Source organism: Homo sapiens, chromosome 17 (genome assembly GCF_000001405.40).
Source record: "Homo sapiens chromosome 17, GRCh38.p14 Primary Assembly".
Taxonomy (NCBI): Eukaryota; Metazoa; Chordata; class Mammalia; order Primates; family Hominidae; genus Homo; species Homo sapiens.
This window is the reverse complement of record NC_000017.11, coordinates 82341432-82363877: the sequence shown is the minus strand read 5'-3', so window position 1 is coordinate 82363877 and position 22446 is coordinate 82341432. Positions and strand designations below refer to the sequence as shown.

Below are 22446 nucleotides of genomic sequence, written 5' to 3'. Positions count from 1 at the left end.
TTGGTGGGATTTCAAGCCAGCAAAGTGGCTTAGCCCAGATACTGAGAGGACAAGGATAAGGCCAATCAACAAAACTTGCTGAGGAATGACTTACACAGGAGCTTGTTTGAAAGCTTTTATGACTTTTTAAAATTAAAAACAACATATAGAGCAACAGGAATTAAATGGTTAAATTGCATCAACGGCCAACATTTAAAACCAGCTCTCCCTCCACTGTAGACCAGAGATCCTAGTGCTGCTGACAGGGTCTTGTGGCACCCCTGAGATTGTCCTGGCAAAGTCGAGAACACATCCAGGTCACCACAGATTCTGGTGTGTTCTGCAGAGCATGTGTTTTACAAGCAATGTCCCTCCCCATGGCCAAGGTGAAATAGGCACAAGTTCTGTGCCCTGCCCCCCATGTCACAAGCAGCACAACAGCCATTCAGGCCAACACATCCAGAACTATGTGACAATCAACTGGTAAGAACTTGTTTCCAGGTTATGAATATTTGTAATGCTTCCCTCTGAGGCCACAACAGGCCCTATCTCCCAGCCCCTAAAGTTGCTCCCCATGTTTCCTTTGCCAACTGCTCCCCTGGCTGTTGTGGAACAGCAATTGCTGGCCCTTCCCAGTCTCTGATGTCCTGGTGTGCCCAGGACAATGGCAGCTACATGAGCCTTAGTCTCTCAGTTCTGGGGCCCTGGACTGAGGCTGGAAACAGGGCAGCTCCCCCATGGCCGAGGCTCCTGCAACAGCCAGGCTTTCCTCAGGACCCCTGCTCTGTGTCTCAGGGGTGCTGAGATCCTGTTCTTGGCTGGAGGACTGTGGCTTACAGGCTGAGTCTCCCTTCTTGCTCTCCCTGTTGGTCCAGGGTGAATAAGAGACTATGGTGAATCCTCTTCTGCAGGGCTGAGGCTGCAGGGACCAGCTCTGCCCTGTGTCCTGTTAACGATGTTTCTAGAATGCTCAGCATCCACCAGTGCAGGTCCTGCTCTTGGGGTGCATCTTGGAGTCTCACCACCCACACTTCACCAGGCTCCAGCAGCAATTTCCAGTGCTGCCCTGGGGTCCTCAGGGCCCTGTCTGGGGTCATCTTCTGTAGGTAGATGGTATCATAGCAGCCCACCATGGAGACAAGCTGCAGGGCCAGTAACTAGGCCTCAGCCTCGGCAGGGTCCACTGCCCAGGTAATGCCCAGCTTCAACACCACGGGCTCCCCTGGGGGCAGGTCCACTTTGAGAAACCCCTGCTATGAAGGAAAGAAGCTTGGCCAGTGTGAGCAGGTAAGAAGCTCCTCAAATCTCCAGGGAAGACCCTGGGTCCAGTCAGCATCCTCAAGGCCCAGGCCCAGGGGCACAGCCTCCTGAGGCCATAGTTCAGTGGGGACAAAGTGGGGGTCCAGACCTGCATCTTCCAACCCTTCTGGGGCTGCTGCCAGGGTCCCTGGCCCCCATGCCTCAGAGCCCCCCTGCACAGGCTGTCCTGGGCTCTGCCCCCAGCTCAGCTCCATCCCTGAGGACCCCTCCTGCTCTGACTCTGCCTCAGTGTGCTCCATCAGCTCAGGGTCCCAGTTGTCTTCTTCCCAGTCCTCTGACTCCAGCAAGTCTTTAAAGTCTAGAAAGGCAGCCTTGAAGCAGGTGAAGCAAATGCTTAGCTGATCTCCATGTTGAAGCTGATACATCCAGGAGGCGTAGAGGTAGGACATGCCCTCTTCCTCATACCGCATGCTGACCGGAGGGCACATGGCCAGGCTGCCTGCCTACTGCCGGGGTGGACAGCAAGAGCTGGGCCTTCAGAGGATCTTGGACGGTCTGGCCACAGGTGCTGAGGCCAGTAGGATGCTGGGCGGCAGGGATGAAGGGGACAAGGAGCAGGAGGAGAAAGGGGTTTCCTATCCAGGGATTTGGGGTGGGGTGGATGACCTGGGTCCCAGCTCAGTGGGGACCTGCAGAGGGTGGAAGCTTGAACTTCTGGAAATGTCTTCAGCTTCTGCAGTTGCTGTGGTCTCAGGAGAGCTGGAAAGGCAAAGGAAGGGAGGTTAGGCACCCCCAGCAGGCAGGGTGGGGGCAAACTGTGGGGACCAGCAGGGGCAGGGATGTTGGGGTTCAGACTGGCCCTTTAGTGGGGACCCTGCTCAGTTTGAACAGCACCGGGGCTGGGAGGCCTTCAGTTCCTCCATCCGACCTCCCCGGGCTCATCAGCCACCCCCTACACCTCAGGGACCCCAACAGCCCATCAGCTTCACCTGACAGAACCTGGGGGAACATGAGGGAAACTGGCAGAGCCTGAGGGGACCTGATGGAAATTGAGGGAACCTGAAGGAAACTGGGGGAACCTGAGGGAACCTGAGGGAAACTGGGGGAACCTGAGGGAAACTGGGGGAAACTGAGGGAAACTGGGGGAACCTGAGAGAAACTGGGGGAAACTGAGGGAACCTGAGGGAAACTGGGGGAAACTGAGGGAACCTGAGGGAAACTGGGGGAACCTGAGGGAAACTGGCAGAGCCTGAGGGGACCTGATGGAAATTGAGGGAACCTGAAGGAAACTGAGGCAACTTGAGGAAACCTAAGGGAAACTGAGGGAAACTGGGGGAACCTGAGGGAAACTGGGGGAAACTGAGGGAAACTGGGGGAACCTGAGGGAAACTTGAGGGAAACTGGGGGAAACTGGGGGAACCTGAGGGAAACTGGGGGAAACTGAGGGAACCTGAGGGAAACTGGGGGAACCTGAGGGAAACTGGCAGAGCCTGAGGGGACCTGATGGAAATTGAGGGAACCTGAAGGAAACTGAGGCAACTTGAGGAAACCTGAGGGAAACTGAGGGAAACTGGGGGAACCTGAGGGAAACTGGGGGAAACTGAGGGAACCTGAGGGAAACTGAGGGAACCTGAGGGAAACTGGGGAAAACTGAGGGAACCTGAGGGAAACTGGGGGAACCTGAGGGAAACTGAGGGAACCTGAGGGAAACTGGGGGAACCTGAGGGAAACTTGAGGGAAACTGGGGGAAACTGAGGGAACCTGAGGGAAACTGGGGGAACCTGAGGGAAACTGGGGGAAACTGAGGGAACCTGAGGGAAACTGGGGGAACCTGAGGGAAACTGGGGGAACCTGAGGGAAACTTGAGGGAAACTGGGGGAACCTGAGGGAAACTGGGGGAACCTGAGGGAAACTTGAGGGAAACTGAGGGAACCTGAGGGAAACTGGGGGAACCTGAGGGAAACTTGAGGGAACCCGAGGGAACCTGAGGGAAACTGGGGGAACCTGAGGGAAACTGAGGGAACCTGAGGGAAACTGGGGGAACCTGAGGGAAACTGGGGGAACCTGAGGGAAACTTGAGGGAAACTGGGGGAAACTGAGGGAAACTGGGGGAACCTGAGGGAAACTGAGGGAACCTGAGGGAACCTGAGGGAAACTGGGGGAACCTGAGGGAAACTTGAGGGAACCTGAGGGAAACTGGGGGAACCTGAGGGAAACTGAGGGAACCTGAGGGAAACTGGGGGAACCTGAGGGAAACTTGAGGGAAACTGGGGGAAACTGAGGGAAACTGGGGGAACCTGAGGGAAACTGAGGGAACCTGAGGGAAACTGGGGGAACCTGAGGGAAACTGGGGGAAACTGGGGGAACCTGAGGGAACCTGAGGGAAACTGGGGGAACCTGAGGGAAACTTGAGGGAAACTGGGGGAAACTGGGGGAACCTGGGGGAAACTGGGGGAACCTGAGGGAAACTGAGGGAACCTGAGGGAAACTGGGGGAACCTGAGGGAAACTTGAGGGAAACTGAGGGAACCTGAGGGAAACTGGGGGAACCTGAGGGAAACTTGAGGGAAACTGGGGGAAACTGGGGGAACCTGGGGGAAACTGGGGGAACCTGAGGGAACCTGAGGGAAACTGGGGGAACCTGAGGGAAACTTGAGGGAAACTGAGGGAACCTGAGGGAAACTGGGGGAACCTGAGGGAAACTTGAGGGAAACTGAGGGAAACTGGGGGAACCTGAGGGAAACTGGGGGAACCCGAGGGAAACTTGAGGGAAACTGGGGGAACCTGAGGGGAACTTGAGGGAAACTGGGGGAACCTGAGGGAAACTGGGGGAAACTGAGGGGAACTTGAGGGAAACTGAGGGAACCTGAGGGAAGCTGGGGGAAACTGAGGGAACCTGAGGGAAACTGAGGGAAATTTGAGGGAAACTGGGGGAAACTGAGGGAAACTTGAGGGAAACTGAGGGAACCTGAGGGAAACTGGGGGAACCTGAGGGAAGCTGAGGGAAACTTGAGGGAAACTGGGGGAACCTGAGGGAAACTTGAGGGAAACTGAGGGAACCTGAGGGAAACTGAGGGAAACTTGAGGGAAACTGAGGGAACCTGAGGGAAACTGAGGGAACCTGAGGGAAACTGAGGGAAACTTGAGGGAAACTGAGGGAACCTGAGGGAAACTGAGGGAAATTTGAGGGAACTTGGAGAACCTTAGGGAACCTGAGGGAAACTGAGGGAAATTTGAGGGAAACTGAGGGAACCTGAGGAATCCTGGCCCCGCTTCAGCCTCCCAACCCCTCACCCAGCACCAGGCCGTGTCTCCGAGACCCCTCCTCAGAGACCCCTCCTCGGGAGATCTCACCATCCTGGTGTCTCTGTTCATGTGGGCACCCAGGGAAAGGAGGAGGCAGAGCCCATTTGGGTATATAAAGGGCCATTTCCCATGGTGCTCTGGGCTCATCTGCATATCTCCCATGAGCCTCAGTTTCCAGGAAATGAAAGTGCTGAGTCACCAGCTCCCTCCAAGGAGGGCCATGTGCAGCCCCTGGGCACCTGCAGGAAGGCCCTGGAGAGGCAGCTCCTCTGGGGGCTGGAGATTGGGGTGGGTGCTCTCCGTCTGCAGGCTGGCACAGGGTGAGCATCCAGCCTGTGGTTGCTGGCCCGTCGTGGGCACGACGTCCTGGTCCTGCCGCGTTTGTAAAACGTGATCCCTGCTTTGCTGTCTCTGTCTTAAAGTTCTCTGAATTTTAAGAACCAGCCAATTGTCAATTAGTTATTGTTTAAACACATTTTCCCCTTTGTGGTTCATCTCTTCGCTCTTTAAACAAGACGCTTATAAATTAACACTTGTTTTTTCAGTAGACTCTATTTTTTACAGCAGTTTTAGGTTCATAGCAAAATTGAGCCAAAAGCATGGAGCTCTCCCACCGCTCCCCTGCTCCTGCAGGTGCACAGCCTTCCCCAGTCCTCCCGTCCCAGCCATTTGTTACACGTTGTTATTATCATCATCGCCCTCTGCAGTTTCCATTATGCTTTCCTCCGGTGCTGTGCATTCTGCAGGTTTGGACACATGTATAATCATGCAGACCCACCACTCTAATATTGTACAGACGGGTTTCTCCGCCCCGATTCATCTGTGTTCTGCATTTTCATCACTCCCTCTCCCAGCCCCTGGCAACCAGGAATCTTTTGACTGTCTCCTTAATTTTGCCTTTTCCAAAATGTCACAGAGCTGGACTCATACATTATGTAGCCTTTTCAACTTCTTTTTTAGTAATACGCACTTTGGTTCTTCCATGTCTTTTGTGGTTTGATAGTTCACTTCTTTTTTTTTTTTTTTTTTTTTTTGAGACAGAGTCTTGCTCTGTCACCCAGGCTGGAATGCACTGGTGAAATCACAGCTACTACAGCCTCAACCTCCTGGGCTCCTGTGATTTTCTCACCTCAGCCTCCCAAATAGCTGGGACTACAGGTGCTGGTGCACACCCCGATAAGTTTTGTATTTTTTGTGAGACAGGGCCTCACCATGTTGCCCACACTGGTATCAAACACTTGGGCTCAAGTGATCCGCCTGCCTCTGCCTCCCACAGTGCTGGGATTACAGACGTGAGCCACCTTGCATGGCCAGCTCACTTATTTTTTAACACTGAATGGTATTCCATTGTCTGGATGTACCATGGTTTATTTATCCATTCACCTATGGAAAGACATCTTGGTTGCTCCCAGGTTTGGGCAATTATGAATAAAGCTACTACAAATATTCATGTGCAGGTGTCTGTAGACATAAGTTCTCAACTCATTTTGGTAAACTCTAAGGAGTGAGATTGCTGGATGCTGTGGTCAGAGTGTGTTTAGTTTTGTAAGAAAGTGACAAATTGTCTCACACAGTGGCCCTGTGGGAGGAACCCCCAAACCCTTTCCCTACATCCCCATGACCTCTGCTCCTCCCCACCTGGCAGCTGTCTGTGCCTGGCTCAGGTCATCCACACACCTGGGGCTGCCTGCCACCCCCACCAGGTTAGGGCTCAGATCAGGGCCACCCCTCACCCTGGGGCTTCCTCGTCCCAGTCCTGGGATAGGGGCAGGTGTGGGGCTTTGGCTGCCAGGTGTCCTGCTGTGGGTGGAGAGGGCAGTGAGCTCATTCCCTAAAGACTCGGGTGCCTGAGCTGTCTGGCTGGTCCCCTCAGGTGAGAGGAAAGTAGTGGTTGAGGGACCCCACAGAGAAGCCTGTTTATGGGTCTGGGGGTCAGAGGCTCCCGGGAGGAGCCCCCAGGTCCTGGTTTTCTCTGAAAAGGCCACTCAAGGCCTCGGGGCTGAGCTGTGGCTGCCCTGGCCAGAAGGGGGCCGGGGAGGGAGCCCTGCACCTGTCGTGAACACTCAGGGCTGGGCCAGTGGGCGCCTGGAGGATGAGGTCCCTCCCACCTGGCCCCTCCCAGCCTCAGTTCTCAGGACACAGCCCAGCCGGCAGCTGCCAGAGTCACTGCCTAAAGGAGGTTTTGACCGAGGAGCAGCAGAGCCCTCTGAGGGCCCCTGTGGTAAGCAGGCTCCTCGCTGGTTTGCATGGCTTTTTCACACAGTAGTTGCGTCGAGAATTTAATATGCTGCGACCTCGTTGCCAGCAGGAGCGGTGTGGGACCGGGAAGCTGACGGGGAAGTGTTGGCGGGTGCAGGGCAGCGTCCACTCTGGGAAGCTGTGGCCAGCGCGTCCTGGCCAGCCAGGGCCTGGGCAGGGACTTGCCTCTCGGGCCTCGGCCTCACCCTGGTCTGAGAGTGTAGGACCCTCTCAAGGTCCTCAGTCACCTCAGCAGCCTGGGACGGAGCCTTTGGATCGCTTCCTGGGCAGCTGGGTACAGGAGAGGCCACTTGAGACAGATGTTGGGATGGACAGCTGGATTTGAGGCCCAGAGGGAAACCGTGGCAAGACTTGGTGGGTGGATGGTACCAGAGGAACAGGACGTGGCCATAATCGGGGAATCCAACACTCCTGTATCTCCAGAAGGACCAGGCATTTCCCCAGCTGCAGAGACCACTGATGGGGCAGCACAGCCATTGTGGGGCCAAGGCCATGACCCGGAGCCACTGGGGCCGTAAGCCTGACACCCAGATTGCCCACGAGCCAGAACCCCATCCCCACCATCCTGGGGTGCACAAGCTCTTGTGTTAGGAACGGGTGAAGAGGGGGAGCTCAGGAAGCTGAACGCAACCCAGAGGGGGTGGACAAGCAGGGACAAGGCTGCCAGATGGGCCTGGCCAAGCTCAGGGGCCCCCAGCTACCTCGGGGGTGCAGGTGCCAGCTGAGCCCTGCAGAGGAATGGGGTGAGGCCACGTCACGCTCTTTGAGCACCGGCTTCCGAGCTCAAGCGGCTTCGTCTCTGTCTCACCCAGAATGCCTCGCGCAGATCCGGGGCCCAGAGAACATTCCAGAGATGCTTGTGGAGTGGAGCAGCTTTAATAAGACACATTCTTGCTTCTCTGTTGGCTTCTTACCTGTGTCCTCGGGATGGCTGCCAAGGTGCTACCAACCTGCTGCATCCCTGGCTGAGGCTCAGAGCCTCCTGGGCTGGTGCCTTCCTGGGCACAGGATCCCCAGCAAGTCCAGGAATCTGACCTGAGGTCACCAATCATGCCCAGGGAAACCAGCCAGCCCCCAAAGCCTCCAAAACCCAAGTGGGCTTGGTTCTGTTGGCAGGTGACCCAGCTGGAATCAAACAAGAAAGAAAAGTGTGTTTAGATCATCAGGTGACTCACCAAATAGAACTTTCTTGAAAACTGTTTAATAATCAAGACCAGGAAAAGATTATGGAATATTCTAGCAAAGTCCAAGTACTTGGATTTTAAAATCAACATTTATCTTACTGCTCTTATATTACAAAGTTCCGCCCTCACCTCCAGTCTCAACGTTTGCACAAAGCATTTCAGCAGCACATGCAATGGCGTTATGGTTGGCTTTTCCCTCTCGCTCCTCCGCACAGCACTGAAGAAGGACAGGAGCAGTTTTCTTTGTTTCTTGCATGAATTTACTACTGAGGCTCGTCAGAGAGAGGCTGCCTGTGGGAGTGATGCATGGCCTCTGCTTCCACGGAGAAAAGCCACACGGTGGTGGCCAGGGGTGGGATGCGCCCGTGGACATGGAGGACAGATGTGTTCTGAGAAGCTGCCTGTTTCTTTTGTTTGTTTTTGAGATGGACTTTCACTTTTGTTGCCCAGGCTGGAGTGCAATGGCGCGATCTCAGCTCACGCCAACCTCCACCTCCCGGGTTCAAGTGATTCTCCTGCCTCAGTCTCCCAAGTAGCTGAGATTACAGGTGCCTGTCACCATGCCCAGCTGATTTTTGTATTTTTAGTAGAGATGGGGTTTCACCATGTTGGCCAGGATGGTCTCAATCTCTTGACCTCGTGATCCACCCGCCTTGGCCTCCCAAAGTGCTGGGATGACAGGCATGAGCCACCGTGCCCAGCCGAGGTGGCTTCTTTACAACAGACTATCCAGGGGACCACAGTCACCCTCCCCTCACTCCCAGCCCACCCTTCCTGCTCATTTGCTTTGTCCACCTACTCAGCTCCGTGGCCCATTGGTGGCCTCCATCCTTCTGAAGGACCAAGAAGCCACTGCCATGTGGAAGCACCTCCACGTGCCCTGGTCAGGTCTGTCACCAGTGCTGTGTGAGGATCAGAACACCCTCGACCACACTGGCTCATCATCCAAATTGTAATCATGGACTTAGAGGCTGTCCTTTTAAAAATAACTTTTGGTATTGTTTGCTTATTTCAAAGTAAACAAATTCATTATCAAACATTTAGAAAACAGGCAAGCAAATAAGAGGAAAGAACATCACCAGTCACACATTCTCCAGAGAGTGCAAAAAGCAAGGTCTCTGTATCTTACTCTCAAGTAGGAAGAATGGTTGCAGGAGAGGAAGGAAGGAGAGAGGGCCTGGGCGCTGTACCCGGCTGTGGCCAGCTCTGTCCTGAACCCTCCTGGGGTCTGTCCTGAACCCTCCTGGGCTCTGTCCTGAACCCTTCTGGGGTCTGTCCTGAACCCTCCTGGGGTCTGTCCTGAACCCTCCTGGGCTCTGTCCTGAACACTCCTGGGCTCTGTCCTGAACACTCCTGGGGTCTGTCCTGAACCCTCCTGGGGTGGGATTTCCATAAGGTGGGCATTATTATCTTCCCTGGGCTGGGCCAGAGCCTGGTTGGGGCCTGGGGCCCCATCCTGAGTCCAGAGTCTGTGACTCCTCCATAGGCCCCAGGGCCTGTGCAGTGACAGTCCCTGAGCAGCAAAAGAGCAAATGAGTGCTGGGAATTGTGGGTCCCTTCCCTAAAAAGGCAGAGGTGGTGATCCCGCCCAGCCCAGGGTCTTCAAAACTGCAGGTACATCCTTGCTGTTCTGTCAAACACATCTGCAGATAACTTGAGTCCATCTAGGGTGGGTTTCCAGGCAGCTGGGGACCAAGTGAGGGGGTGGAGGCGGCCACGTGAGACCCCAGGAAGCAGAGCCCCCACCACCCCAGGAGATTTCTTCATCCACAGTGGCAAGGGTGGGGGCTGCCCTAAGATGTCAGCAAAGACCACCATTGGGGAAGGTCTTGGACATGACTCTGAGTGGTCCCATGGGGAAAGGGGACTGGTGTCTCCTGGAGGGAGATGCTGGAAGAAGGCCAGAGAGGAAGGATGGCCAGAAGTCCCCATTTCCATAGCCCAAACCTGTGGAAACACTGCCCCTGGGCAGCTCTGTGCCCCTGGCGACCTCCTGGTATGATGCAGCTTAGAAAGAAGCTGCCTGTCTCTCCATTGCCAGCCTTTTCTGGAAGTCTGGGTGCCTTCAGGTTTGGGGATACTGAAACATCCTCCCAATATCCCAGGGCTCCTGGCCTTTGAACACCCGCGAGGGGCGGGGCAGCCACACACTTGGGGGTCACGTTCCCTGGGACTCTCCCCTCTTGGCTTCCCCCCATCACCCAGGGCCAGGGAGGCCGGGGCAGGTGCAGACCCAATCCTGGCAGTTGGCAGCGGTTTCCAGGCGCCTGCGTGACCCTGTCTGTAGCCTACAGGAGCAGGTGCTGCCTGTGATGGGGGCCCTGGGCTCCAGCAGATGTAGGAAGGTATGAGAGTGCAGCCACCCTCCTACACCCTCTCTCCCTAAGGCCTCCATAGTAGATTTAGGGTTCATGCTACTGGGTGAGATGGAGTTGAGGGAGGGCCCGCAGTTCTAAAGATCTGGGTCACACTTGGGCTATAGGGCCCTGTTAGCCATGAACTCCTTCATCAAATAAACCAAATGTGGAAGACGCATACCTGGGGCCCTGGTGCTTGATTTTGTTTTCTGCTCTCATCTCTCATCACCCTACAAAATGCATCTCCATAAAAAGACATTAAACAGCCCCGCACGGTGGCTCACGTCTGTAATCCCAGCACTTTGGGAGGCCAAGGCAGGTGGCTCACCGGAGGTCAGGAGTTCGAGACCAGCCTGGCCAACATGGTGAAACCCCGTCTCTACTAAAAATACAAAAATTAGCTGGGCATGGTGATGGGAGCCTGTAATCCCAGCTACACGGGAGGCTGAGGCAGAAGAATTGCTTGAACCCGGGAGGTAGAGGTTGCAGTGAGCCGAGATTGCGCCACTGCACTCCAGCCTGGGCAACAGAGTGAGACTCTGTCTCCAAAAAAAAAAAAAAAAAAAAAAGACATTAAATGAGACTAAGAAAAAAATGGCAAGTATTAAACATTTTGGGTAAATCAGAGCCATGTCATGCTGGCCTCACCCTCAGCCACCAGCTGCCTGCCCCCGCAGAGCCAAGCTCATTGCTGTCTGTCATCTGAGTGAGGGCACTGTGCATGATGAATAACACCTTTTTTTTGTTAAAAACAGCTTGAAATATTTACTTCAGTTTAATCTGTTCATTTTTAAATCAGAGCAAAACCAAAGTTGTGCAGAATGAGCTGGGAGATTAGGGGGCCTCAATCCTACTCCACAGGGACCCTGTCCACATGTGGCTCAATCCTGCTCCATAAAGACCCTAGCCACAGGCCGTGGCCCAACCCACATGGCCTGGACACACAGAACAACCCTCAAATCAACCCAGAAGCTCCAGATACTGGGCGTGCCCCCCACAGCCCTCGGCAACACCATAAACCCCACTTGGGGACACAATGGGGGCCACCGCCAGGCACACAAATGGCCCCAAAGGAGCATGGCCTCCCCCTCCTCTGCCCACTGGTCTGGATCCTACCTCCTAGGGGTGGGCACCAGGGGTTCTGTCCAAGGAAAGGGGCTCTGCCCATGACAACTGGGAGGTGGTGTCGTGTCCACCCTGCCATGCACAGCGCCCACACACAGGAAGCGGCGTGGCTGCAACAGCCCCTGGGTGTGAGGCCTCCCATACCCCTGGTGTGCTCGCTGAGATCTGAGACTGGAGAAGCAGGCACTGGAAGCAGGACTTGGCGAACCCACACGCCTCCTGGCAGGGAGGGAAGATTATGGAAACTGGGGGCTTCCGGGTGCACCTGTGCCACCCCCACATGGCTTGGGGCAGGCGCCTGGCATCCCTGGGCACCTGTGGGTGCGGCAGAGCAGCCCGGAGGCAGCAGGATCAATTTCTAGGCTCTGGATTTGGGCGCCAACTTGCTGTGTGCCAATAGCACCCCCTGGTGGTCACTTCAGTCTGCACGGACGCTCGTGCTTTTGTACCATCAAATCAGCCAAGCCCGCAAAGGGGCCCTGCCATTGGCCTGGTCTCTGGACTGGTTGCTGGGAAGAACTGAGAACCATGGCTGGCCCTTTAGCAATTCCTGAGGCCTCCCGACCCTCCTCCTCCAATCGGCTCTGCCTCCATCTTCTGATCTGTGGAGTTGGGATGTTGCACACGGCATCCCGACGGCAACCCGCGTCCTCCTTCAGCTGAGAGTCTGCCGGGTGGGCTGAGGCCGGGCCAGGGGCTATACCTGGGCCACCCCAGCAAGCTCCCTCCCTCGGTCCAGCTCCACGGCCGGCCCCAGCCCTGGAGGCCTATTGCGAGTGCATGTTTGTGTGTGAGAGCATGCCCTCACGAGTGTGCAGGGGTGTGTGGGGTGCGGTGTATACATGCACAGGTGTGTTCGTGTGTATGCAGGAGTGGGCGGGTGCACAGACGTGCACCTGTGGGCAGGAGTGACCTCAGAGACTCCTTCCCGCAGATGCCTCGGTCGCAGGGCCCCAGCCCGGCGTGGTTGGTGACCTCAGAGACTCCTTCCAGCAGACGCCTCGGCCGCGGGGTCCCAGCCCGGCGTGGTTGCTGCTCTACACACATCTGCTGGATTGAAGTAAACAGGAAGAGTCAGTTAATAATAGAAGGACTTGGGGTGTGAAGCAGCTGGCCCCAAAGGCAGGAGCTACAAAGCGAGAGGACCTAGAAGCAGATGCTGACTGAGGTCAGGTTTGGGGTAGATAACAGGGGGCAGGTCATTCATGTTCTCTGCTTGCCTGTGTTTTCCACAGCTTCTAAAATGAACTTGAGTTACCTGGAAATAAGAAGCTCAACAATTGTAACATTCTCGGGCTGCCAGCAACTCCATGTCTGAAGCCCAGCCTGGATCGAGCCCTGGAGAAGCCTCGAGGGTGGGCCGAGGTGGTGGCCCGTCCAGCCCTCCTGGACAGGCCCAGTGGCTGGGACAGAGGCCTCCGAGGTGCCGGGTGTGCCGGCCCCACGATGGTGCACCTGCCGCCACCCCGGTGAGATGGGCATCACCCAGGGAGGCGCAGAGAAGCCGGCAGCGCAGCCAGGACTGACACGTAATCCCGACACCTGGGCCATCGGCAAGAACTGTCAGCCTACTTGACCTCTTTTTGTGACAAATCAGATCCTCCCCCAAGAACAGACCAGTGTCTGTCAGCATCAACCCCCACAGACACCTCTGCTGGTGTGGCAGGTGACATTGCCACAGTGGGGCCCTGAGTCAGGCGGCAAGTCTCTGTAACAAACAGCTCCAGGAGCAGTCATGCTAGTGGGGGGCTCAGCCTGTGCAGGCCCTGGGACCTGGGTAAAGTCGAGGTGCAGCATCAGAGTCCGGGGCCCCTGCACCCCAGGCCAAAGGTTGCCCTCATCCCACAGAGCCTTCCGTTGCAGCTGGTTCAGGCCCCGGGGCCAGCCGGGCATCTCGCCCTGAAAACCACAGGCTCCGTGCAGAGGGGAACCCGAGAGAGGCCTGCAGATGCCACACATGATGCTGGTGTCACATTGAAATAGTTTCGGCAGGGGGCGGTGGCGCACGCCTGGAATCCCAGCACTTATGGAGGCCAAGGCAGGCGGATCACCTGAGGCCAGGAGTTCAAGACCAGCCTGGCCAACATGGTGAAACCCCATCTCTACTAAAAATATAAAAATCAGCTGGGCGTGGTGGTGCACGCCTGTAATCCCAGCTACTCTGGAGGCTGAGGCAGGAAAATAGCTTGAGCATGGGAGGCAGAGGTTGCAGTGAGCTGAGATCACACCACTGCACTCCAGCCTGGGTGAAGAGTGAGACTCTGTCTCAAAAAAAATAAAAAGAAAAAAAAGAAATAGTTTGACCCCAGAGTCATTCTGGCACAACCTAAAAAGCCGACTCTTTAACATTTGAGCTTTTAAAAATACCAAATAACCTGGGAAAGTGACACGCTGTCCCTGTGGCCATGGGGCCATGTGAAGGGTGACGTGTCTTGCGCAGATGCCCTGTGTGCGGCCCTCACTGAAGCTGCAGGGTCTGCTGCCGCTCACAGCTCTGGACTCCAGACGTCTGCCTCTCGGGACACTTGGGACTCGATTCCACAGCTCCAGAAAACCCAGGAAACCCGAAGGCGACCTCAACACCGTTCGTTCTCTCAGTAGCATACGTGATAAATGAAGTAAAAACTCCTTTAAAGCGAGGGTTTGGGGAAACAGAACTGTTGTGTCTCAGACGGCGTTAACCAAGTTGCAATCATTTTACAATTGGGAAACTTTCTAAGAAAACTATCTACACATCTGCTTACAAATCAAAGCCAGAGTGTTTTCTACCGTCAGGAAACTGGGAGAGGCTCAGGAATGAGGGGGAGGCAGTCAAGAAATCGCTAATTAAAACCAGCGCTTTCCCACCCTTCTGGCTGGGAGGGGGCCGGGAAAGACGAGGAAGTGGAAGAGGTCAGGAGAAGGCAGTGAGTGAACAGATTACTGTCCCAGTCTCCACCTTTGTGTTTATGTTTGTACTTTTCCATGATAAAAGCTTTGTTCTGAACATCGGCCTCCCCCGGGCTGTGCAGAGCTCCACGGCCCCGGCTACCCCAGTGGCTCCAGTGGCCGACAGGGTTGATTCTACTCACCTGAGCAGGTGAGCCTCCCCAGAGTCACCTGGCATCGCTCTGGTGGGTTTGAAGGAGAGGTCAGGATCCCAGGACATGCACGCGCGGGTGGCAGTGACCCTACCAGAGCTGGGGTCACGGGGGGAACTGAGGCACCCCCCACAGACATTTTTAAATTCTAAAATCAGATGCTTTTGTTTAGTTGTTCAGAGTGAGGCTTCTATGCCCCTGCATGTGCGTCTCCAGTTTGGAACTTATGCTCCTCTAGGAGTTCCCGAGGCTCTGCGTAGAGATCAGTGGAAGAATTGGCTCAGATCAGCCTCAAGTCCTGAGGAGCAATCGTATTTCAGGGACGGCTGGCTTATTTCATTTATTATAATTCTCCTATTTACTATTCAATTCCAACACAGCAGGTTTCCAAATGTGAGAGGGAAACATTTACGTCGTGGGGACTGTGGCTGTAAATTCCCACTATGGCAGGTTTCTCTTTGACAAATAAAAGCGTTGGTTGAATTATTGACAAGGAAGATAGATTTAGAAATGTGTGTCAGACGTGGGGCTGGGTGAGTTTGTGAAGGAGAGAGAGGTGAAGGAAAGCTATGAGGCGAGCAGGGCAGGGTGGCAGCCGGCCAGCCCAGGGGGTCTCGTGGAAAGCTATGAGGCGAGGAGCAGGGCAGGGTGGCAGCCGGCCAGCCCAGGGGGTTTCGTGGGTGTTTATGCTGGGACCTTGGCCCAGGACCCCACCTGGCAGCCTCTCCTTCCCAGCAGGGCCAGCCCCCTGCAGCCCCAGGCCCTGGGGGGCAGTCTTGGAGGGGCTCTGGCTCTGATGTCTTCCCTCCCTCCAACGCTGGTCCCAGCACTCAAATAGAAACTCAAATCCTATTTTCTGCGGGTAGAGATAGGATGACAAGAGGCCTCCCTTCTAGAAAGGAAAATGAGAGATCAGAAAAATCAGAAAAACCAGAAGGCATTGGCTGGGTGCAGTGGCTCACGCCTGTAATCCCAGAACTTTGGGAGGCCGAGGTGTGGGGATCACCTGAGGTCAAGAGTTCAAGATCAGCCTGGCCAACACGGTGAAACCTCGTCCCTACTAAAATACAAAAATTAGGCGGGCGTGGTGGCAGGCACCTGTAATCCCAGCTACTCAGGAGGCTGAGTCAGGAGAATCACTTGAGCCTGGGAGGCGGAGGTTGCAGTGAGCCAAGAACGCACCATTGCACTCCAGCCTGGGTGACAAGAGCAAAACCCTGTCTCAAAAGACAAGACAAGAAAATCAGAAGGTCTTAGCTCTGGTGGAAGAGCCCGGAGAGAGGGCGTTCAGGCTGGGACCCCCTCAGTCTCTCTGTCTCCAGAGGGGGGCGTTCAGGCTGGGACCCCTCAGTCTCTCTGTCTCCAGAGAGGGGGCGTTCAGGCTGGGACCCCCTCAGTCTGTCTCCAGAGAGGGGGCGTTCAGGCTGGGACCCCCTCAGCCTGTCTCCAGAGGGGGGCGTTCAGGCTGGGACCCCTCTGTCTCTCTGTCTCCAGAGAGGGGGCGTTCAGGCTGGGACCCCCTCAGTCTCTCTGTCTCCAGAGAGGGGGCGTTCAGGCTGGGACCCCCTCAGTCTCTCTGTCTCCAGAGAGGGGGCGTTCAGGCTGGGACCCCCTCAGCCTGTCTCCAGAGGGGGGCGTTCAGGCTGGGACCCCTCTGTCTCTCTGTCTCCAGAGAGGGGGCGTTCAGGCTGGGACCCCCTCAGTCTGTCTCCAGAGAGGGGGCGTTCAGGCTGGGACCCCCTCAGTCTGTCTCCAGAGAGGGGGCGTTCAGGCTGGGACCCCTCAGTCTCTCTGTCTCCAGAGAGGGGGCGTTCAGGCTGGGACCCCCTCAGTCTCTCTGTCTCCAGAGAGGGGGCGTTCAGGCTGGGACCCCCTCAGCCTGTCTCCAGAGGGGGGCGTTCAGGCTGGGACCCCCTCAGTCTGTCTCCAGAGAGGGGGCGTTCAGGCTGGGACCCCTCTGTCTCTCTGTCTCCAGAGAGGGGGCGTTCAGGCTGGGACCCCCTCAGTCTGTCTCCAGAGAGGGGGCGTTCAGGCTGGGACCCCCTCAGTCTGTCTCCAGAGAGGGGGCGTTCAGGCTGGGACCCCCTCAGTCTCTCTGTCTCCAGAGGGGGGTGTTCAGGCTGGGACCCTTCTGTCTCTCTGTCTCCAGAGAGAGGGCGTTCTGCTGTATAAACAGGAAGCCCCGGGTGCCTGAGGATCCTTGGCACAAGCAGGGCGGGGACCGGGTCGGGGTCGCCCACATGGGCACTATCCCGAAATCTTGTGCCATCTCTTGTATTTAAAAGCAGAGTGGTTCTTCCCCCCACACTGTGGCGGCTAGCTAATTTTTTTAAGTTTTGAGTTTTTAAACCCGAACCTGCCGCTGAGCAGTTTGCAGCTTCACACTCGCGTGTGCAAGAAACAGCTTCCTGACTTCCCCCTCGGAGCCCTCCTGGGGAGGGGAAGCCGCTCCTTGGCTGCTGCGCCCTCAGACACACGCTCCCTTGTGTCAGGTGTGTCAGGCCTCTGAGCCGAAGCTCAGCCATTGTAACCCCTGTGACCTGCACATGTATGTCCAGATGGCCTGCAAGAGCCAAGAAGTCTGGGGCAACCCAAATCTACAAAAGAATGAAACAGCCAGCTCCTGTCTTAACTGATTGACCAACCTTACGACATTCCATGATGACCTGTTCCTGCCCTGTCCCACCTGATCGATCGACCTCGTGACATTCTTCTTCCGGACAATGAGTCTTATGATCTCCCCACCATGTACCTTGTGACCCCCTCCTCTGCTGACAATAGGTAACCACCTTTCACTGTAACTTTCCACTGTTTACCCCAGTCCTATAAAACGGCCCCACCCCTACCTCTCTTTGCTGACTCTTTTCGGACTCAGCCCACTTGCACCCAAGTGAATAAACAGCCTTGTTGCTCACACAAAGCCTGTTGGTGTCTCTTCACATGGACGCACGTGACACAAAGTGCTGGGGTTACAGGCGTGAGCTGCCACGCCCGGCCCTCTTTGCTCTTTCGTACGAATTTTATTTTTTATTTTTATTTTTTTTCTTGAGACAGAGTCTTGCTCTGTCGCCCAGGCTGGAGTGCAGTGGCGCGATCTCGGCTCACTGCAAGCTCCGCCTCCCGGGTTCACGCCAGTCTCCTGCCTCAGTTACCTGAGTAGCTGGGACTACAGGCGCCCGTCACCACACCTGGCTAATTTTTTGTATTTTTTTAGTGGAGACGGGGTTTCACCGTGTTAGCCAGGATGGTCTTGATCTCCTGACCTCGTGATCCGCCCGCCTCGGCCTCCCACAGTGCTGGGATTTACAGGCGGGAGCCACCACACCGGCCTTCGTATGAATTTTAGAACCAGTTTTTCCAATTTCATGAAAAATTATCTTAGGAATTATATTAATTTCGGGAAAACAGTTATCTTTGGGTCCCACGTAAACACAGGGAGTGGGAAACAGTCGTGTGGCATCTGTGGCACAGAACACAGAGACCAGGCCCCGGCGGCTCTGCCAAGCGAGGCTTCGTCCCGGAGACTCGGCGTGTGGCCTCCGGGTCACAGAAACGGCCTTCGTAGCTGTTTGATGTCACACCAACGAGACTTCATTCGTGTTAGCAGAACTTTGGGGACGACGTGACCCTGCGTGACAGCCGGGAACACGGGAGCCAGATGTGGGGACAGCGGCGAGCTGGCACCCCGGATGGAAAGCCGGACAGAAAGGCGGACAGAGCTGCAGCCACGACCAGGAGTAGCAGCAGGTCCTCGGACGAGAGGCAGCCCCCGTTCCCGGACCAAACTGAGGGTCGGGCCCCATAACGAGACGCAGCTGAACTGGGGAGGAAGCACGTGTTTATTTCCCCAACCGGTTACAGGGAGAAGGCCTGGACATTATCTCCAGACCAACTCAAAATTACAGTCCTCCAGAGCTTATCTACCTTCCACACGCTACGTCTACGTGTAAGTGTGCATTCATCTGAAGACTAAGTGACTAACTTCTAATCTGTAACTGAGGTCTGAGTCCTGAAGACCTTCCTCTGGAGCCTCAGTAAGTTTAATCTAGATGGGTCCAGGTGCTGGGTCATTACCCTTATCCTGTCTCCTGCTAAGTCACGGAGGTTGGAGAAGTTCCTTCGGGCCCCCAATAAGCTTGTTTGTGGAGGCCTGAGGAGTTCCTTCAGACCCGCGATAAAATTTGTTTTATCCTAAATGGGTCCTATTAAGAATTCCTTTGTTATTTTTTCATGCTTTAAGGCCCAGGAAAGGGCTAGGCAAAACTCTTGGTATGCTTCTGTTACATTCCAGCCTTTGTATAAGGGCACTGGCTTTTAACTCCCTCAGTACTGAAACTGGTCATGGAGGCCCACGTTAGTGAGACCTGGCCTACCGCACTCCCACCCAGCCCACGGGCGTGTAAATCTGTGCAGCCAGACACACCCTCACCCTGCAACCACCCCTGCAAACCCCCCTTCCCCACTTCCCCATTGTGAGATGTGGCAGCCCAGGGCGGAGTGGGTATTTGCCCTAAAGACAAACACCGCTGGAGGCACGGAGCCGACACAGGCGCCATGAGCTGACACAGGCACGGAGCTGACACAGGCACGGTGAGCTGACACAGGCACGGAGCCGACACAGGCACCATGGTGTCTGTGGGACTGTGACTGCCGAAGGCCAGAATCAGCCTACGCACACACACACGGGGCTGTTGACTTAGTCACCCCCCACCCAACACAGCAGCCATGCCTGGGAGGCCACCCCGCACCCACCAGGAGGGTCTCCAGGAGGGCCTGGTGTGGGCCAGGCTGAGCTCAGGACGCCGTGATGGTCGTGCCTCCTTCTGTGTCAAAGGGGAGGGGCAGATAGAATACGTGTTTTTCTTTGCTTTTAGCTACATAGTCTGAAGGATCCACAGGAGCACAATAAAGGAAGAGCCACCTGGGGCTGAGGAAGAATCAAGACTCTTGCCACCTGTGATGTGGAGTGCTCCGTCTCTGAAAGGTGTACCGTATTAGCTGTGGTTAAAAACAATTTAAGGCCAGGTGCCATGGCTCACGCCTGTAATCTCAGCACTGTCGGAGGCCAGGGCGGGAGGATCACCTAAGGTCAGGAGTTCGAGACCAGCCTGGCCAACATGGCAAGACCCACCCCCGCCCCCCCTGCCTCCCTGTCTCCACTAAAAATACAAAATTTAGCTGGGCATGGTGGTGGGTGCCTGTAATCCCAGCTACTCAAGAGGCTGAGGCAGGAGAATCGCTTGAACCTAGGAGGTGGAGGTTACAGTGAGCTGAGATCACACCACTACACTCCAGCCTGGGTGACAGAGTGAGACTCCGTCTCAAAAAAAAAAAAAAAAAAAAAAGAATTTTACCAAAGACCAGCTTTAGCTGTCTGCCCAACTAATTTTTCCTTTTCTTCTCCCTTGAAAGCAGCTTCACTAAGGCGGTGGCATGTCACAGCTCCATGATACAGAGCAGGGCTGCCCCGGAGAAGTGTGCGGAGAGCAGCAGCTCAGGGCAGGGCAGCCGTCACATTTATACCCACTTTTAACTACATGCAAATTAAGAGGTGGGGCATTCAGAATTTCCTAGAAAAGGGGTGGTACTTCTGGGTCATTGCCATGGAAAGGGGCAGTAACATCTGGGTGTTGGCATGGCAATGGTAAAGTGTCACAAACTCATGGGCCTATAGGAGCCAGCTGGCTGCAGGTGGCTGTTCTGACAGACTGGAACCTGCTTACCTGGCTAACCCTTGTCGCCTGATAGGTCATCCAAGGAGAGAACTTGAACCAAAATTTGGGTAAAGCAATCTCTGTGGCAGTTTGGTTTTATAAAACAAGACAAAACGAAACAAAAAAAATTGTTTTACCCTCTTTCTCTTTAGTTTCAAATGAGTTTCCAACGTTTACATTCTAGTTAGACCGTAAATAACGAGTCTTCGCACCAGCAGCTTAGTAACAGCAGGTTTAAAGCAAGAAAGAAAAGAGAGGACCAGAGAGCACCTTAGAACACTGCTTAACCACAGCACAGGTTCACCACTGGAGGTCTGAATTTTCCTCGCTGTCATTTGCCCGTCAGCTTAAAACATGCACAATGGGCTGTAATATGTAACCAGCTGGAGTCCCTAAGAGGACGACAAAATCAGGGGCCGGGATGTTGGAAACTGTTTTTCCCTTTTTGGGCTGGGCCCCTGGATTGAACAGGAAAATAGAAAAGAAAGGAAAGCGGAGGAGAAAGGTTTGCAGCAGGGAGGAGAAACAAGAAAGGAAGGAGGGAGGCTGGCGAGCCTCCAGCCACTGCGTGGTGCGGGGCCAGCACCCCCTCACCCTTGATCATCTCCCATCAGGGAAAGCCTCCGCACCCCAGACCTGCGCGGTGTGGGATGAATCCCTCCCACCTCCGCAGATCACCTGTCAAGGTCAGCTGTTCGCAGCCACAGGGAGCTAAGGGTGCTTTTGACCAAGAGGAATAACGCTTTGGTGGCGGACGGGAGGAGGACGTTGGAGGAAGGAGAGAGAGGTCAGGGTGCACACACTCATGCGCACAAACCAACAGCTGCGTCCAAAAAACCTCCTTTAAGGGGCTCGGTTTCAAACGGCCCCTCGGGCGACTGAACCCGCACTGAGCAGAGGCCCTAGGGTGCCACAAACACAAACGAATTCAAATGTATCAAATGCCCAACTGGTGTCACTCACAGCCAAGTCTAAACAGAGGAGGGCCTCAGCCACACCCCAAAGAGGCAGAGGGTCCCTGGGTGAACTCCAACTAAGGCACCCAGTTCCAAAGTTTATTAACTTCTCCAAAGGTCACTTCCTTTGCACCAGCAAAGCGTTGAAGGCAGCAGGAAGAGAAGGACAGGATTCCCGGACGAAAGCATCTCGGCGGCCACGGGGCAGCTCCTCCCATTCCAGCCACAGGCGCAGCAGCCAGGAGCAGCTGGAACTCACAGGTGAACCTACGCCCTGCCCAACAGAAACCAGATGGGCAGGCTTGGGCCCCCCAAAGCACACAACGTTCCCCACACGGGCCACCAAAATTGTAACCGAACGCAAGTTCCGTTCCTCACCACTTGCAGAGTCCAGTAATCAAGAGGGAGGCCTGGTTGAAAGAAAGTGACTTTATTATCCGAAACTAGTCATGGGCAAGGGGCCGCATTCCCGTCCAAAGCAACCACTTCAAATTCCTAGGGAGAAGGCAGGGGCTTGTCACGGGGAAGCTGGCGTGGGAGGCGTGCCGGCGCCGTGCTGGGTACAAGGTCTGTGTGTCTGTCCTCAGTGGCTATCTTGGGTCCCAGTACACTTGGAGCGCAGGCTGGGGTCATCTGATCAACGGCTGGGTGGCTGACTTGCTGCCTGGGGGAAACCTCTGGAATTTTGCCGCTGAGTTTCCAGGGTTGGTCTGTCTATCTCAAGATTAGGCCCTGGAACGTTTTTGAGACAGAGTCTCGCCCTGTTGCCCAGGCTGGAGTGCAGTGGCACAGTCACAGCTCACTGCAGCCTCCTGGGTTCAAGTGATTCTCCTGCCTCAGCCTCCCAAGTAGCTGGGATTACAGGTGTGCACCACCACGCCTGGCTAATTTTTGTATTTTTAGTAGAGATGGTGTTTTACCATGTTGGCCAGGCTGGTCTCAAACTCTTGATTTCAAGTGATCTGCCCACCTGAGCCTCCCAAAGTGCTGGGATTACAGGTGTGAGCCACCATGTCTGGCCCTTTTTTTTTTTTTTTTTTTTTGAATAGAGGAAAAACATACAGGACTCACAAAGAACTGAAATGTTCATGAATCTCAAGCAAAACAAGAGTTAACTAGGCCAGGCGTGGTGGCTCACGCCTTTAATCCCAGCACTTTGGGAGGCCAAGGTGGGTGGATCATGAGGTCAGGAGATTGAGACCATCCTGGCTAACACGGTGAAACCCC

The 22446-nt window shown here is 55.2% G+C and overlaps 1 protein-coding gene across 1 annotated transcript, besides 9 other annotated features; it reads right to left on the bottom strand.

Moving 5' to 3' along the window:
- TEX19 (testis expressed 19) lies at positions 103-4631 on the bottom strand. The gene is made up of 2 exons (NM_207459.4): positions 4593-4631; positions 103-1998 (listed from the first exon to the last, which is right to left on the bottom strand). Exon 2 carries the CDS (start codon positions 1725-1727, stop codon positions 1233-1235), a length of 495 nt encoding a protein of 164 aa, NP_997342.1. The 5' UTR covers positions 1728-1998; positions 4593-4631; the 3' UTR covers positions 103-1232.
- Positions 158-936: an enhancer, noted in NCBI's record as "H3K4me1 hESC enhancer chr17:80320818-80321596 (GRCh37/hg19 assembly coordinates)". NCBI's record gives its function as "activates a minimal SCP1, AML or CMV promoter by ChIP-STARR-seq in primed H9 embryonic stem cells {active_cell/tissue: H9 hESC(primed)}" and the evidence as "EXISTENCE:reporter gene assay evidence [ECO:0000049][PMID:30033119]".
- Positions 3151-3445: a silencer, noted in NCBI's record as "tiled region #9771; HepG2 Repressive non-DNase unmatched - State 23:Low". NCBI's record gives its function as "represses a minimal TATA promoter and a strong SV40 promoter by Sharpr-MPRA in HepG2 cells {active_cell/tissue: HepG2}" and the evidence as "EXISTENCE:reporter gene assay evidence [ECO:0000049][PMID:27701403]".
- Positions 7054-7989: an enhancer, noted in NCBI's record as "H3K4me1 hESC enhancer chr17:80313765-80314700 (GRCh37/hg19 assembly coordinates)". NCBI's record gives its function as "activates a minimal SCP1, AML or CMV promoter by ChIP-STARR-seq in naive H9 embryonic stem cells {active_cell/tissue: H9 hESC(naive)}" and the evidence as "EXISTENCE:reporter gene assay evidence [ECO:0000049][PMID:30033119]".
- Positions 11057-11933: an enhancer, noted in NCBI's record as "H3K4me1 hESC enhancer chr17:80309821-80310697 (GRCh37/hg19 assembly coordinates)". NCBI's record gives its function as "activates a minimal SCP1, AML or CMV promoter by ChIP-STARR-seq in naive H9 embryonic stem cells {active_cell/tissue: H9 hESC(naive)}" and the evidence as "EXISTENCE:reporter gene assay evidence [ECO:0000049][PMID:30033119]".
- Positions 12314-12492: a silencer, noted in NCBI's record as "fragment chr17:80309262-80309440 (GRCh37/hg19 assembly coordinates)". NCBI's record gives its function as "represses an EF-1alpha promoter that drives an FKBP-Casp9 reporter gene in an ReSE screen in HepG2 liver carcinoma cells {active_cell/tissue: HepG2}" and the evidence as "EXISTENCE:reporter gene assay evidence [ECO:0000049][PMID:32094911]".
- Positions 12314-12583: a biological region, named in NCBI's record as "ReSE screen-validated silencer GRCh37_chr17:80309262-80309440".
- Positions 12364-12583: an enhancer, noted in NCBI's record as "active region_13006". NCBI's record gives its function as "activates an Ori minimal core promoter by ATAC-STARR-seq in GM12878 lymphoblastoid cells {active_cell/tissue: GM12878}" and the evidence as "EXISTENCE:reporter gene assay evidence [ECO:0000049][PMID:35858748]".
- Positions 13262-13381: an enhancer, noted in NCBI's record as "active region_13005". NCBI's record gives its function as "activates an Ori minimal core promoter by ATAC-STARR-seq in GM12878 lymphoblastoid cells {active_cell/tissue: GM12878}" and the evidence as "EXISTENCE:reporter gene assay evidence [ECO:0000049][PMID:35858748]".
- Positions 18613-19148: an enhancer, noted in NCBI's record as "H3K4me1 hESC enhancer chr17:80302606-80303141 (GRCh37/hg19 assembly coordinates)". NCBI's record gives its function as "activates a minimal SCP1, AML or CMV promoter by ChIP-STARR-seq in naive H9 embryonic stem cells {active_cell/tissue: H9 hESC(naive)}" and the evidence as "EXISTENCE:reporter gene assay evidence [ECO:0000049][PMID:30033119]".

Excerpts from the sequence above, each read along its gene's own strand:
- TEX19 (NM_207459.4), bottom strand. The coding sequence starts at position 1,727 with ATGTGCCCTCCGGTCAGCATGCGGTATGAGGAAGAGGGCATGTCCTAC.